The sequence below is a fragment of the Homo sapiens genome, chromosome 4 (assembly GCF_000001405.40).
Source record: "Homo sapiens chromosome 4, GRCh38.p14 Primary Assembly".
Classification (NCBI taxonomy): domain Eukaryota; kingdom Metazoa; phylum Chordata; class Mammalia; order Primates; family Hominidae; genus Homo; species Homo sapiens.
In genome coordinates, this window is record NC_000004.12 from 20977754 (window position 1) to 20990994 (window position 13241).

The 13241-nt window shown below is 39.8% G+C and overlaps 1 protein-coding gene across 8 annotated transcripts in view, besides 1 other annotated feature; it reads right to left on the reverse strand.

The window, feature by feature from the left end:
- The window catches only part of KCNIP4 (potassium voltage-gated channel interacting protein 4), a 1220167-nt gene that overhangs the window by 249148 nt on the left and 957778 nt on the right, over window positions 1-13241 (reverse strand). Inside the window, exon 1 of one of the 8 annotated variants that reach the window (NM_001363504.2) lies at window positions 6061-6317. The exons of the other annotated variants lie outside the window; for them this stretch is intronic. Within the exon in view, the coding sequence (NP_001350433.1) occupies window positions 6061-6172 (112 nt within the window). The 5' untranslated portion in view covers window positions 6173-6317. Of the gene's footprint in view, window positions 1-6060; window positions 6318-13241 lie in introns of those variants that run through there. 8 annotated transcript variants of the gene reach the window in all.
- Window positions 3636-3805: an enhancer, noted in NCBI's record as "experimental_77702 CRE fragment used in MPRA reporter constructs". NCBI's record gives its function as "activates a minimal promoter by MPRAs in K562 erythroleukemia cells, with activity observed for the introgressed 4:20983097 variant allele {active_cell/tissue: K562}" and the evidence as "EXISTENCE:reporter gene assay evidence [ECO:0000049][PMID:34662402]".

Here is a 13241-nt window from a genome sequence, read left to right on the forward strand (position 1 = left end):
GCTTTTAGTTTCTAGTCTCTACCTGTCAAAGTTTTGGATCTCTCAACTCTTGAGATGTAAAATGTCACTTATCTTTTTGCAGCCTTCCCCAAAATCTTCTAGATGGCTCCTCTCTTTGAGTTTTCTAAAGGCCTTACTCCCTCTCACAATACTTTTTCATCTTGGATTAGTTATTCATGAGCTGTCTGGCCTCTAACCAATTCGGAAATTTCTTGAAGGCAGTAAAACACCTGACTATCCTCCCTTCCCTTCCACACAGTAATACATATTTGTTATATTTTGGCAATAAATCTAAACGTTTTTCCAGTTACAGAATTGAAAGTGTTGCTTTTCCATCAAACCAGAGCTCATATAAGCGGGGACTCTGCAACTCATTGTTGGTTATCTTAATTGAAATTATCTCCCTGGCTCAGGAGTTCTAACAAACATATGTGTTTGGTGTGCAGGTATCTTCACTTTGCCAGGGGATTTTGATGTGAAATATTACTAACAGAAAAAATATATATATAACAAAAATCTTAATCAATGAATCAACAGTTTTTAGGCTACTATGGAAACCTGAAAGTGATACTGGAAGTTACTTATTATGTGGGATAAATAGATATGAACTGGCACTATTCCTGTATGAAAGCAAATGGCATTCAGGTCATAATTTTCTTCAGTAACTTCTATTTACCAAGCACTGTGCTAAACAGCAAGGATAACTGTACAATTAAGGAGAAGGAGTAAAACAGTCAACTCCTATCCTACATTTTATCGTTGTTCCAGGAATTTCACGTGGTGTATCATGGCCCTGTGCTTGTACATGGTGTTACCTCACCCAGCGTTTTACATACAGTACTTGGATAAGCACCATTCTTATATATCAATCTTATACACTTCTCTTCATCCATAAAAGCCAGGATTAGAGGTCACCTCCACCATGGAGTCATCTCTGATTGCTTTCATCTCCTCTACTTGGACTTAATTACCTAACATTCTTCTTGGATTTTCTTGTACTGGTCTATTTACCATGATGTATTATATTTTTTATTTGTTAGTATTCTTTTTCTTCTTATGCAACTGAGAATATCTTGAAGGCAGCAACTATCTTTAATTGATCTCTATATTCTGGAGCCTAGCCTAGTGCCTGACATCCTGTAGACAATCAATAAATATTTATTAAATGCAAGCCATGTGAAAACAAGTGCCAAAGTACTGGTAATTATTAAAGTTAGATAATGAATATATGACAATTCATTACACTTTTTTCTATACCTTGTTTTATGTGTAAAATTTTTCAAAATAAAAAGTTTACAATAATCGAGGACCTTGTAAGATAGCGGATTAATCTATCCAAAGTTTTAAGTTCCTTCCACTATACCTATAGCTATGATCTCTGCGTACTCCACATTTCTTTCTTTTCTCATAAAAAAGATATTTAATAAAGCCAAACAAAGTTGCTCTGAAATAAAGTATAAGTATATTGTTTCCAAAGAGCTTCATGTCATGGATATCATTAAATAAGAACTTCTGGAAAAACTGGAAACGGACAGTTCTCCCCAAGTATTTTATTGAGGAGGGAATTCTGTGGATTTTTGTCCTTCCAATCTGCCATCTGAATTGCTACAAAAGCATAACTAGTATCTCTGCTTCCACTTTCTTTCTTTTTTTTTTTTTTTTTGAGATGGAGTCTCACTCTGTCGCCCAGGCTGGAGTGCAGTGGCGAGATCTCGGCTCACTGCAAGCTCCGCCTCCCGGGTTCACGCCACTCTCCTGCCTCAGCCTCCCGAGTAGCTGGGACTACCGGCGCCCGCCACCTCGCCCAGCTATTTTTTTGTATTTTTAGTAGAGACAGGGTTTCACCGTGTTATTCAGGATGGTCTCCATCTCCTGACCTCGTGATCCACCCGCCTCGGCCTCCCAAAGTGCTGGGATTACAGGTGTGAGCCACCGCGCCTGGCTCTGCTTGCACTTTCTTACCTGTGAACTCATCTTCACCTACCCCCAGGTTGACCTACCTAAAACATGGATCTGTCCCACTTGCTCCCCCAAAGTTGAAGTCTTTAAGTCAATGGCTCTTCAATGTTTAGGGAATAAGTGTGCACTTCTAGTGTTGAACCCCAAGTAACTTGTCCAGCCACATATTTTAATGTTCTTAGACCCATGTGCAACGAGCCATATCCAATTCACGGTCCTAATCCATGCAAGCCACCCACTGTCTGTGCTTAGATTCACAGCTCAATTTCCTTGCTCAGCTTGGAATCTTCTTCCTGGATTTTCCAATTTGGGAAACATTCTCCCACTCCAAGGTCCTGTACGACTAGTTTTTCTTCTCCATTAAACCTTCTCTGGAGTCCTTTCCAGAATGAACCTTTCTACCTGTGCTTCTACTGGCCATGGCCTGGGCCTATGCCCAGCATTATTTTCTGCTGCCTTGTTTAGTAAGTAGTCTCCTTTACCAGAATGTAAGCTTGTTGAGGGCACTTTAATGTTCATCTTGCACTTTCCCACCCTCTCAGTCAATACCCAACAGGGTACCCTGCACACGTTAGAATTCAATATGACAAGATTACAAACTAAAGTATGAAATGATGAGCTTAATCTCATGAGTGTTCTTTCTCCTTCCGCTTACTAATAAGTGGATATGTGCAAAATTTCAAATCCCTATAGTAAAATCACACTGGTTGTTTTGATCTTCTTTACAAATTGCTTTTGAGTCCTAAGTCATGAATTTCAATTAAAACTTTTTTTAAAACAAGACTATCGAAATTGGAAACTAAAACAAATAACTGTTTCTCTTAACCCTTTTCTATCTGTGTCTAATTCTAGTCAACATTAGAGATGAAAATATTAAGGCAATACTGCTTTATCTCAACATTAATATGGGCCCTCTCATTCAAATAGACTCAGAAGTACTTTCTAATGTATTATACAGAAAATCACACTGGAGAAAATATTCCATGATGGTACCATTGAGGTATCACTGCTTCCTGAGGACAACATGTAAGCTCAATGCTGCCTAAAAGAAGCTCAAATTTCTACTCTGGGCCTTTTCACCTTCACTTCTCCACCATAAAAAAAAAAAAAAGAGGCTAATTCTCTGGACTATTGTGGGTCATATTTTCTAGGTGGTGCAATCTTAGTGAAGAGTTTAGCAATTTGCATTGGGATAACCCTGTCAACCTTCATCATTTTCAGCTAGAAAGAATGAAAGCTCTGATAATCTAATTTTTTATGGTGGTTTGCACTTTAGCTGCCTTTTTTTCTCAAACCTTTACTTGACTACTGATCAAAAAGTCCAGGTTCTGTTTCTGCTTAGACAATGTCATAGTCTAAATAAACAGGCAGCAGGCCTAGGATAGAGGTGTCACCTTCTCATTGGACTTCATCCTCAGACTCTGCTTGAACTGGACATTCATCATGATTGAATGTAAGTCACATTTGGTCAAAATTCAGTGCAGATCTTAGATGTCTGACAGGGGCTGAGGAGACCACTTGGCTTGCTTTTGTCCTAATCTTGCCTCTAATCTATGACAAACATCAGTGGTCTGGCTTAGCTCATTTATATCCCATGCTTGGGTCCCATTCCTGGGTTGAGGTCAGAGCCTTGTAGAAATTACATGCCCATTATATGATTTTCTTTTAAATGCATTTGCCGAAAATATTTCACATGGTATTAGCCAATTCAGGAAAAGACTCAAGAATTCCAGAAAATTCCCATGTGCATTTTCATTTATTCCCTTTCTCAACATTAAGGAAGATGTATAAAAGTATGTTGTAGTAGGAAAAGCACTGTGTAGGATTCAGTAGTCTTTGGTTTTGATCCTGCTTCTGCTCGCAGTTACATTTGCCTTATGACAAGTCAGTTAACTTTACTGGATTGTAGTTGTCTCCTATGCAAAATAAGAGTTGGCCCAAACTAGTATTTCCTAACATGTATTTCAGAGGAAAAAGGGACTGACTCAACAAGTATATGTGGGTCTTCCCTCATGTATGGTGATAACCTGCATCCTTGTATTTTAACATGATCATGGATTCTATATTGAATTAAAAGTTTCTCCAGCTTACTGAACATTTCACATAATATCTATAAATATTTATGTACATCTCTATGTGTATGTTTGTGTGTGTAGATATAGAAATATAGATTCAGATATGGATAGGAATATGATTTAGATATCTCTCCCAAGGAAGACTTTTCAGACCAACTCAAAATTTCTATGATTCTAGTTGGGGGAGTCAGGTTTACAATTCTAATTTTCATTTTGTTGAAACTCAAATTCGAAGTTTGAATCTGCAAACCTTCAACTTTAAGTGATATGAAACAGACATTGAAGAATAAAAGCTGAATCGTTGCCCGGGGCCTTACACTTGGGACTTTTGATTTTAAATTTCTACATTATTAACTTTGACAATATAAGAACTGTGCGCTATCCTCATAATGCTGTGAAAGTTGACTTCCTCAATACATTTGTGGAGGTTGTCCTTTAGAACCTAACTCTGAAACCAAGTCAGCTCCAGTACAATGCACTGAAGTTGGGGGCTGTGGCTCAACTAAGTCCAGAGAACCAAAACGTGGTGACAAAACAGAAGCAAATTATTCCAATCATAGAAATTGAAATTGCTAGTACTGTATTAAGACACCAGCATTTAGTGCATTGAGGCAGAAATCTCAAGAGAATGCAAAATTGTGTAACATTGGAGAAACCTGCTTATGCATTGATTTCCTTCAGGGGTTAAATAAAATTACTGTGAAATATAAGAAAAGGAAAAAGAACTAAATTCTGAGGTTTTAATCCCATTACAGTATTATTTGTATTGTGTCTAAGCAGAACTTATTGAGAATAAAGAAGATACGAAGATTACAATAGAATGTATGTTCTTATATTGTCTAAACAGTTAGAACCTAATGAACTTACTTTGTAGAATAAAAGGACTTTCTGAAGATAAGATACATTGGCCATCATTAACATATTAAGAGAAACAACCTGTATACCGGATCTTGTTTGGGATGATGTCATCATAGCTATCAGGTCTTAGCTCCTATAGTTAGAAAGATTACAGAAAGCATAGGCAAGTTTAAATATTTCCATCTCCCCACATTAAACACAATGTGAGAGGTAAATATTCATTACTTGGCAATAAAATATCATATCCATATCTGGAAGAAATATTAGCAAGTATCTCATGGACGTCATTCTTTCACTTAGGAAGAAAGAGGAGATTGCATGTAGAATTGATATCAAATGATTTAGGTTTAAATGATTCAAAGGCTATTATTTTAGTAAAAGCATTATTTCATAAACAATATGTGTGTGTGTTTGATACATACATATACATTCAAATAGTTAAAGCAAAGTTAATTAACTTCTTAAAACTCTCCAATCTTTGAATAACAAAACTCATTTTGGATAGCAAGAGTAAAATTTATGTTAGATGGATCTAATTTTTATTGATAGCAACAGTCCTGTCTCGTGTGTATGAGTTCCTACTCAGGACACACATGAGCAATGAGACTCACTGGGGAATGCAAATGAAACACTTGCAAATCAAATGTTCAAAGCACATTTTTGCTGAGCACCCATTAACTCAATTTCATATCAAAAGCTTACCCATTTTATATCATAATAAACCACCCGGGTTCACCCCCACACCTCCTAACTAATGAGGGACACACAGATATTCTCTTCACAAATCAAGATACTCTTTCATAGGATGAAATCACTAATGACATTAAGGTGTGGTAACCAACATGAACTTGACAACCAAATACCAACCCATATTATCACCCCATAGGAGAGAGTCCTAACTCCCCACCTTAGAAAAATATTTAACCCACAAAATACTAAACCCAAGTAGATTTCAAATAGAAAGATAATGGTACAATATCCCTTCCCTTCTAATATCAAATATCTAGATAAACCAAAATGAACTGTCCAGCCACTAGGATGCTCTATGCCAAACATGCATATTTTAAAACTTTTACTTTGAGTATTAAGGCTTCTTAACTTCTGCAGCATCTGTATCTACTTCTAAACCAGACCTGCCCAACAGCACAGACTGGAGCGACCACTTTACCTTCCGAAAAATCAATCAGTCCCAGCAAATGAAGAAGCTTCAGAGATGCACATATAATCACAACAATACCCACTGTTTGCAGTCCTTCGGACTCCCACTCCAGAGTCAACATCCTCTGAGCTGGCAGAGCATCCCAGCCTCCAGACCCCTTTGGAGTGGAGGGAGTTAATTACAGAATCGTAGCAACGTCAGGCTTGGAACAAAGACTTGCAAGGGGAAAAAGTGAGCAGCTCCTGGCAGATGCACCCTGCAAAGCCGGCGGCCCCCCGGGGTGAGGACAGACCTGGGCTAAAGTCCAGCTTCTCATGCTGATCCTGGCATTTGGCTGGCGGGGCTTCCCCCCTGCTACCACAGCGCACGGACCTCTCCACTCTATGCTGCAGCCAGCGGGCGAGTACTTCGACTTCAGAGCTGCGAGGGAAACGTCTGTCGGAGAACTGGAGACTTTGCAGTGTCCGTGGCGAGAAGGGACACTCCTAGGAAACTTGCCCGGGAGAACACCGCGCGCTTCCCTCGCTGAGGACGCGAGGCTGGGCAGATCTGTCTGCGCGCTAGTTTTCTGCCTGAGAAGCTTGCGAATGGCCCCTTTTTGCCAAAGCTGCTGCTCTCTCCTCCCAGAGCCGCCTCTGGCAGAGAGCTCAGCTCCCTCTCTGAATGCTAGGAAACAATCAGTTCTGGTGGCTGGTGCCTACAGGCCCTTCCTGAAAGCCCCCGTGGAAGTCTAGAGGCAGCTTTTCCAGGGAGAAAAGTGCAGGAGCAAAGCTCCGTGATTCAATGACTTTGTCAAACGAGAACACCTGAGCCTCCCCCGCCACGCCACTCCTTGTTCTGGTCTCCGCTGTCACGTCGGGCGCATTATCAGGGAGATTGATTTAGTCCTTATATTATATTTACAAAGGTGGACGGAGGGCGTGGCGGAGCAGTACCCGGTAACAACTAAGATGTTCATAACTGCCCCCTGGAAGGTGTGTACCACCATCGTCCTTTAAAGTCTGGCCTCAGCCTTTCTCAAAGTTTCACAAACTTCCCTGATGATAAAAACAACCTGGGGTTGTTTATTAAAACCACGCTCATCAGAGGAGCCTGGAGTGTGTGTTATTAAGAAGCCCAGGTGACTCTTATCAACTGGGAAGTGTGGACAGCACCATCGCAAAGATGCCATGAGGTGTGCTAGTCCAAACCACTCCAAACAGACCCTGTTCTGTGCCAGGACCACACTGGCTGAATCACTTTGTTGGTTATCTCCAGTCTACTGAAGCCCAACCTAAAAACGGAGATGAAGAGAATCAACAGGGACTCTGTAGGTGAACTGGAAATATAAGGGTTTGTGAGTAATATCTCAGACCTCCAGGGTCATTTGCAAGTTCTGCTTCTTTCTTGCTATGTGATCTTGTGCAAGACACTTAACCACTCTAATAACAGGTCCTATTCTATGCAGTCAAGATCATAATACTTCATTTAAAGTTCTCCATTTAAAGGGAATTATGGGAATTAAATGTGATCACAATAATAGTTAACATGTACTAAGCACTTACTATGTGCTCATCAATATTGTAGTGACTTTTCAACAACTTACTTATCCCTACATCTCTACGTGGTAGACAAATTAATCTACCACATAAGTGGCAGATTATAAGTTAATTCTAATCATTTTAACTTTGTAGGTGAGGAAAACAAAGCATGAAGAGGTTAACTGACTTGCCAAGCAGTGGGCATAGTGACTGGAAGGCAACAGGCTTTCATTCATTCAGTTATTCATTAGCATTTATTAAGCTGCTACTATGAGCTATAAATGGTACATGAATGATCAAATGATGAATAATACTCAGCTCTGTCTTTTGGGGGCTTATAGTTTAATGAGGAGGCAGGCATGAAGTAAAATGTGACCAATAAATACACCAACACTTGAACAGATGTCTGCGCGGTACAGTGGGAAAACAAGGAGGGAAAGTCAACTCTAATTGGGAAAGGGTTTAGTGGTATCAGGAAGGAGACTTTATAGAGGCGGTAACTGTCCATAATGGTAACCTGAATCATTACTAGAAGTATTATAGTATACCATGCTCAAGTTTTGAGGTTGGTAGACCTGGGTACAATCCTAGCCTTACCCTTGCTTGCTCCATGACCTTGAAGAATACACTCCGTCTCTGAATCTTGGTTTAAAATGGGAATGCTACTGCCCCTTTCTCATGGTTGATGTAAGAATTAACTAAGTCTGCGGGGAGCTGAGCCCAGTCCCTGGGGTCCCCTGCTCACATATGGTAGTTGTGGGGTTATGACGGAAGTTCCAACTCTTCAGAGGCTCTGCAAGGTCTCCTTGGATGAAACGACTTTGCTTTTCCCTGGTCCTGCCACCCCTGCTCCAAGGTCTAGTTTCAGCGTTTTTCCCATGAAGACCTGCTGATCATCTCAACCCACAGTGTGGTTTCTTTCCCTTGAGTCCTAGAAATAAGTTGGTCCTGCCAAAGGTGCTTTTCATTTTGAATAACATATTTATAAGAGATATCCTTGTATCCACCTGCCCAATCACCCATCCATCCAAACATTTTCTTCTCCATTATATCAGCAAGCCTGTGGCGGGGAAGCAGGTTTTAGTAATTAGTAGGAAAAAAAATATTTTAGGTAACCATTTTCTGAAATTTCCACCAACGTTTAGCTACAGAAAGTCAAAAGTTAAAAAAAAATTACAGAAATTAATTAGGTCAAGTTAAATGTAAACATGTCTTTTAATCCTATATCATACCATATTGTAGTTGAAAACAACTAAAGTACTGAGAGGGGGTCACATGGTTAGAAAACCCAGAATTCAATCATTGCTTTGTCTGGCTTCCAAATTCACGCTTTTCCCTTTATTTCTATCAGCAGATTTCAGCAAATATTTGCCAATTGATCTCTTAGTTTAGAGAGTTGGTAAAGTATTTTAAAATTGCCACATCTCATTTTCCAGGATTGAAATTCCTATCTTTTTTGAAATTCACATAAAGTCCCATGAATATGATTTTGTTGGTTTCAGATAGAATTTCCCTTCAGGACAATAGCATTCTCTACTTAGAATGTGCCAGCTGATTGGAGGTCCAGCCCTTTCCTATCTGCATTAGTTACATTTACCACATGCTTTCTGAGCTGTCTCTCAGCTGTGGCTACCGGATCGAATCTGCTGGCTCCCAAGTATGCGGGGGCTCTTTCACATGCACCCCCAGCTGTGAGATTTTGTAAGGTGACAGCACCATAAGAGGAGTTTCCTGCTTCATCTAAAAAGTCTAGGGAAGCAGGGGACATCTGGGGAATGATGTTTATCTAGCGCCACTCTTGGAAAGAAGAGTTGCCTGCATAGCGCTTTGGGAGGCTTAGGTGGGAGGATAACTTAGGAGTTTGAGACCAGTCTGGGGAACATAGTGAGACTCTACCTCTATTTTTAATGTTTAAAAATTTAAAAAAGTAACTCCAGATCACGGCTCAACCATTTTACTGCAGTAACTTGCTAGCCCCAACCCAGTTTGTTATATTAAAACATCCTGGCTTTCTCCCTCATTCACTGACTCACCCCTTTCTTTACATTGTAATGAGTCCTCCAGCAGAGGTCTGTCTTTCATACCAAAGAAGGGAATACCAAAGGTACACTAAAGGCTTTTACCCATTGATTCTAAGCCAGGCACCATACTATGTAGTTTACATGTATAAATTAGTTTCAGCTCACCCCAAATCAATAGGTTAGGTGTTATTATCACTATTTCAAAGAAGAATAAAAACTAAGGCGCATTGGGATTAATTAATTTTCACAAAATTACATTCAACAAGGGACATAACCAGGATTTATACCTGATTTACTCCAAAAATAGTAGCTACCAACATTTATGGAGAACTTTTAAGTGTCAGGCACTACTCTAAAATATTTATAGATATTGGCCGGGCGCGGTGGCTCATGCCTGTAATCCCAGCATTTTGGGAGGCCGAGGCAGGCGGATCACGAGGTCAGGAGATTGAGACCATACTGGCTAACACGGTGAAACCCCGTCTCTACTAAAAATCCAAAAAAAATTAGCCGGGCGTGGTGGTGGGCGCCTGTAGTCCCAGCTATTCGGGAGGCTGAGGCAGGAGTACCTCGTGAACCCGGGAGACGGAGCTTGCAGTGAGCCGAGATCGCACCACTGCACTCCAGCCTGGGCGACACGGCGAGATTCCATCTCAAAAAAAAAAAAAAAAAAAAAATTATAGATATTAACTAATTTAATCCTTTTATAGTTCCCTGAAATAATTTGGTTTCAAGGAGAAAATTCAGGCTTTCAAAGGTTAATCCACTTGCCTGAAGCCTCATATATGGCACTTGGTAGAACTGGGATTTGAATGTGGGTATACTCGGTACCAGGTTCTGCCTACTTTATCATTCACCACCTCACTCTCAGGCCCCTCTGCACCATGTTGAATGGTTCTTTAACTGGGGCCGTTTAACTGGTTGAGAGACTCTGAAAGGAAAGTATTGACAGAAACTCTTAGGAAAGTAAAAACTCACTCCAAGGACGCATGTCCAAATCAATTGACCAGTCTGTGAAAGAGAGAGGGTCAGTAGACTTTACATTTCCTTGCCCCAATCCATTGTGATCCTTTAAATAATCTCAAATGGGATGATTTATCTAAAACCTGAAATTGATCATTTTTCCTTGTTTTTTATAGCTTCAGTTTGAAATTTCACCACGTGATAGTCTCGGTTAAGAAATATTCTTCATACTGTTTGTTGACATTATAATAAATGCAAAAATAAGTGTAGCAAGATTGAGAAAAACGTTAAAATTCGATATATTTACAATCTACCTGTTCTCTCTTCAAATACATAGAATCACAATGTATATAGAAACTAGTTAAGTCAAATTTAAATGTAAGATTATTAGCCTATGAAGGGAATCAGAAAATGTTACTCCAAAATATGTCCTTTGGCATAAGGGTTATTTTCGATTGAAGGCAACTGAAATAGGAGACTCAGGAAAAACTCTCTACCTTCCCCCTCTCTGCCTCAAGGCAGGGGATAGATGTATGAATTTCTCTTTGTAAAGTATTCCCTTCTGCTCTCCTGTATGAGAAGGATGAAACAACTATAATCACTGGGCAGAAAGTCGGCACCAGTGGGATTTGTGTAAGAAACCTTACAAATAAGCCTTATATTCCATTAGTTTCCCCTGTATATTTTTCTTCCCACAATTTACCACCCTAGAAGCCCAAATCCTTTTTTCTTTGTCTTGTCACTTCACAATTTATCACCCTTTGTTAGGATGATTATATAAGTCCCCAATTCTAAGCACCCCTTTGAGTTACTCTTCATTGAGTTCTCACATGTATATGTGCTCTGCACGTGTAAATAAACTCTATTAATCTATTTTTCCCATCAATCTGTCCTTTGTCAGTTTAATTTACAGGGTCCAACTACTAAATCTAAGAAGGAACAGAGAAAGTTTTTTTCACCCCTACATCCATATTCATACAATCTTTTAGGAATCATTTAAAGATAAAATAATATATTTTTTAAAAATTTGCAAATGCATAAAAAGGAGGTATAGAGAGCAGAGTTGGCTTGTTTAAGGTCAGGGACTTGGAAGTGGACACAGGTGGCTTTGAATCCTCTAGCTTTTCATAATCCTTGACTTGCTTAGTATAGGAAAAATCAGGATGATACACTGAAAAGTTAAAAAGAAGTAAAATTCTAGAAGGAAAATTTCTTCTCTCAGTCAATAGAAGCTAAGAGAAGCAAGCCATCAGGATGGTTGGCATTATCCGGAAGGTTGCATTGAAGAGAGAAACCTAATCTAGGTCATTGAAAATGAGTTTGGAGAGGAGCAGTGACTTTCCCAGGAACATAAATGGGCACACACAAAGACAGCATTGGCCAGGCACTGTGACTCATGCCTGTAATCCTAGCACTTTGGGAGGTTGAGGTGGGTAGATCGCTTGAGTTCACAAGTTCAAGACCAGCCCGGGCAACATGGAGAAACCCTATCTCTACAAAAATTGCAAAAGTTAGCTCGGCATGGTGACATGGGCCTGTAGTCTCAGCTACTTGGGGAGCTGAGGTGGGAGGATTGCTTGAACCTAAGAGGCAGAGGCTGCCCGTGCCACTGCACTCCAGCCTGGGCAACAGAATGAGACCCTGTCTCAAAAACAAAACAAAAACAAAACAAAAGACAGCATTCACGACAGTGGTAAAGCCAGATTGAGACCTCCAAGCCAGGCGAGAAAAATGAGATTGGATAGTTGGTGAAAGATGCCACTTAACATCAGGACTTGATGGGGCAAGTAACAAAGACAAGGTCAGTGTATGACCCTTCATGTCTCTTCACACTGTAAGATTTTCTCACCAAAATGATGAAAGTTATCTACCCGCAGGTGCCCTCTACTCTACCCTCAACATCACCTCCACATTAAAGTATATCAAGCCTTTCTATCTTGGGGTTTCTCAATTACTTTGAAAATTCCTAAATGTTCTCCAGATGAACTTTCTGCTCAAACATGATCAGACTCAAGCAGTTTCACTTAGCTGAAGGCTCATTCTGAAAGGTTAGTAAATGTGTCTTGAATGGACTTCTTTAAAATATGTATATGGATGTCCATTAAACTATTAAGTACCACAGCCTTCTGTTTTGAATGCCCTATTGAATCCACAAGGTCGATTGGATTTTCAAATAGAAAGCTGAGGGAAAAAACTACCTTCCATCCTAAGACACTTCCAGCAATATTGCACTAATGTATCTTGAAAATAGTCCTCATGAATCTTATGATCAAAGCATGTATAGTATGTAATCTTCACATAAACAAATGAGTAGACTATTTGGAAGTCCAACCAGAAAACTTGCATTAGAATATAAGCTTTCCTTAGTAGGATTTATGACATTTTTGCCATAATTTCTTTTTCCCAGCCTTTGTGGCCTAACCTGAATGAGTTCCTGGGTTTACCCATTTAATCCAGTATGCAATTTGTGGCTCTCCTGTCATATCCCTTTTGATGTAATCTCTCTGTAATAGGTGTCTGTCACATCCCACCACACTGGGCTGGCTTTAAGGCCGTGATTCTCCAGGATAATAATGATCATTATCCCTTTTATATATTATAGTTTGTAGTACAATAATACTGAATTCCTACCACGTGACACACAGTGTGCTGTGTGCATTACATAAACTGTCTCATTGAGTTGTCG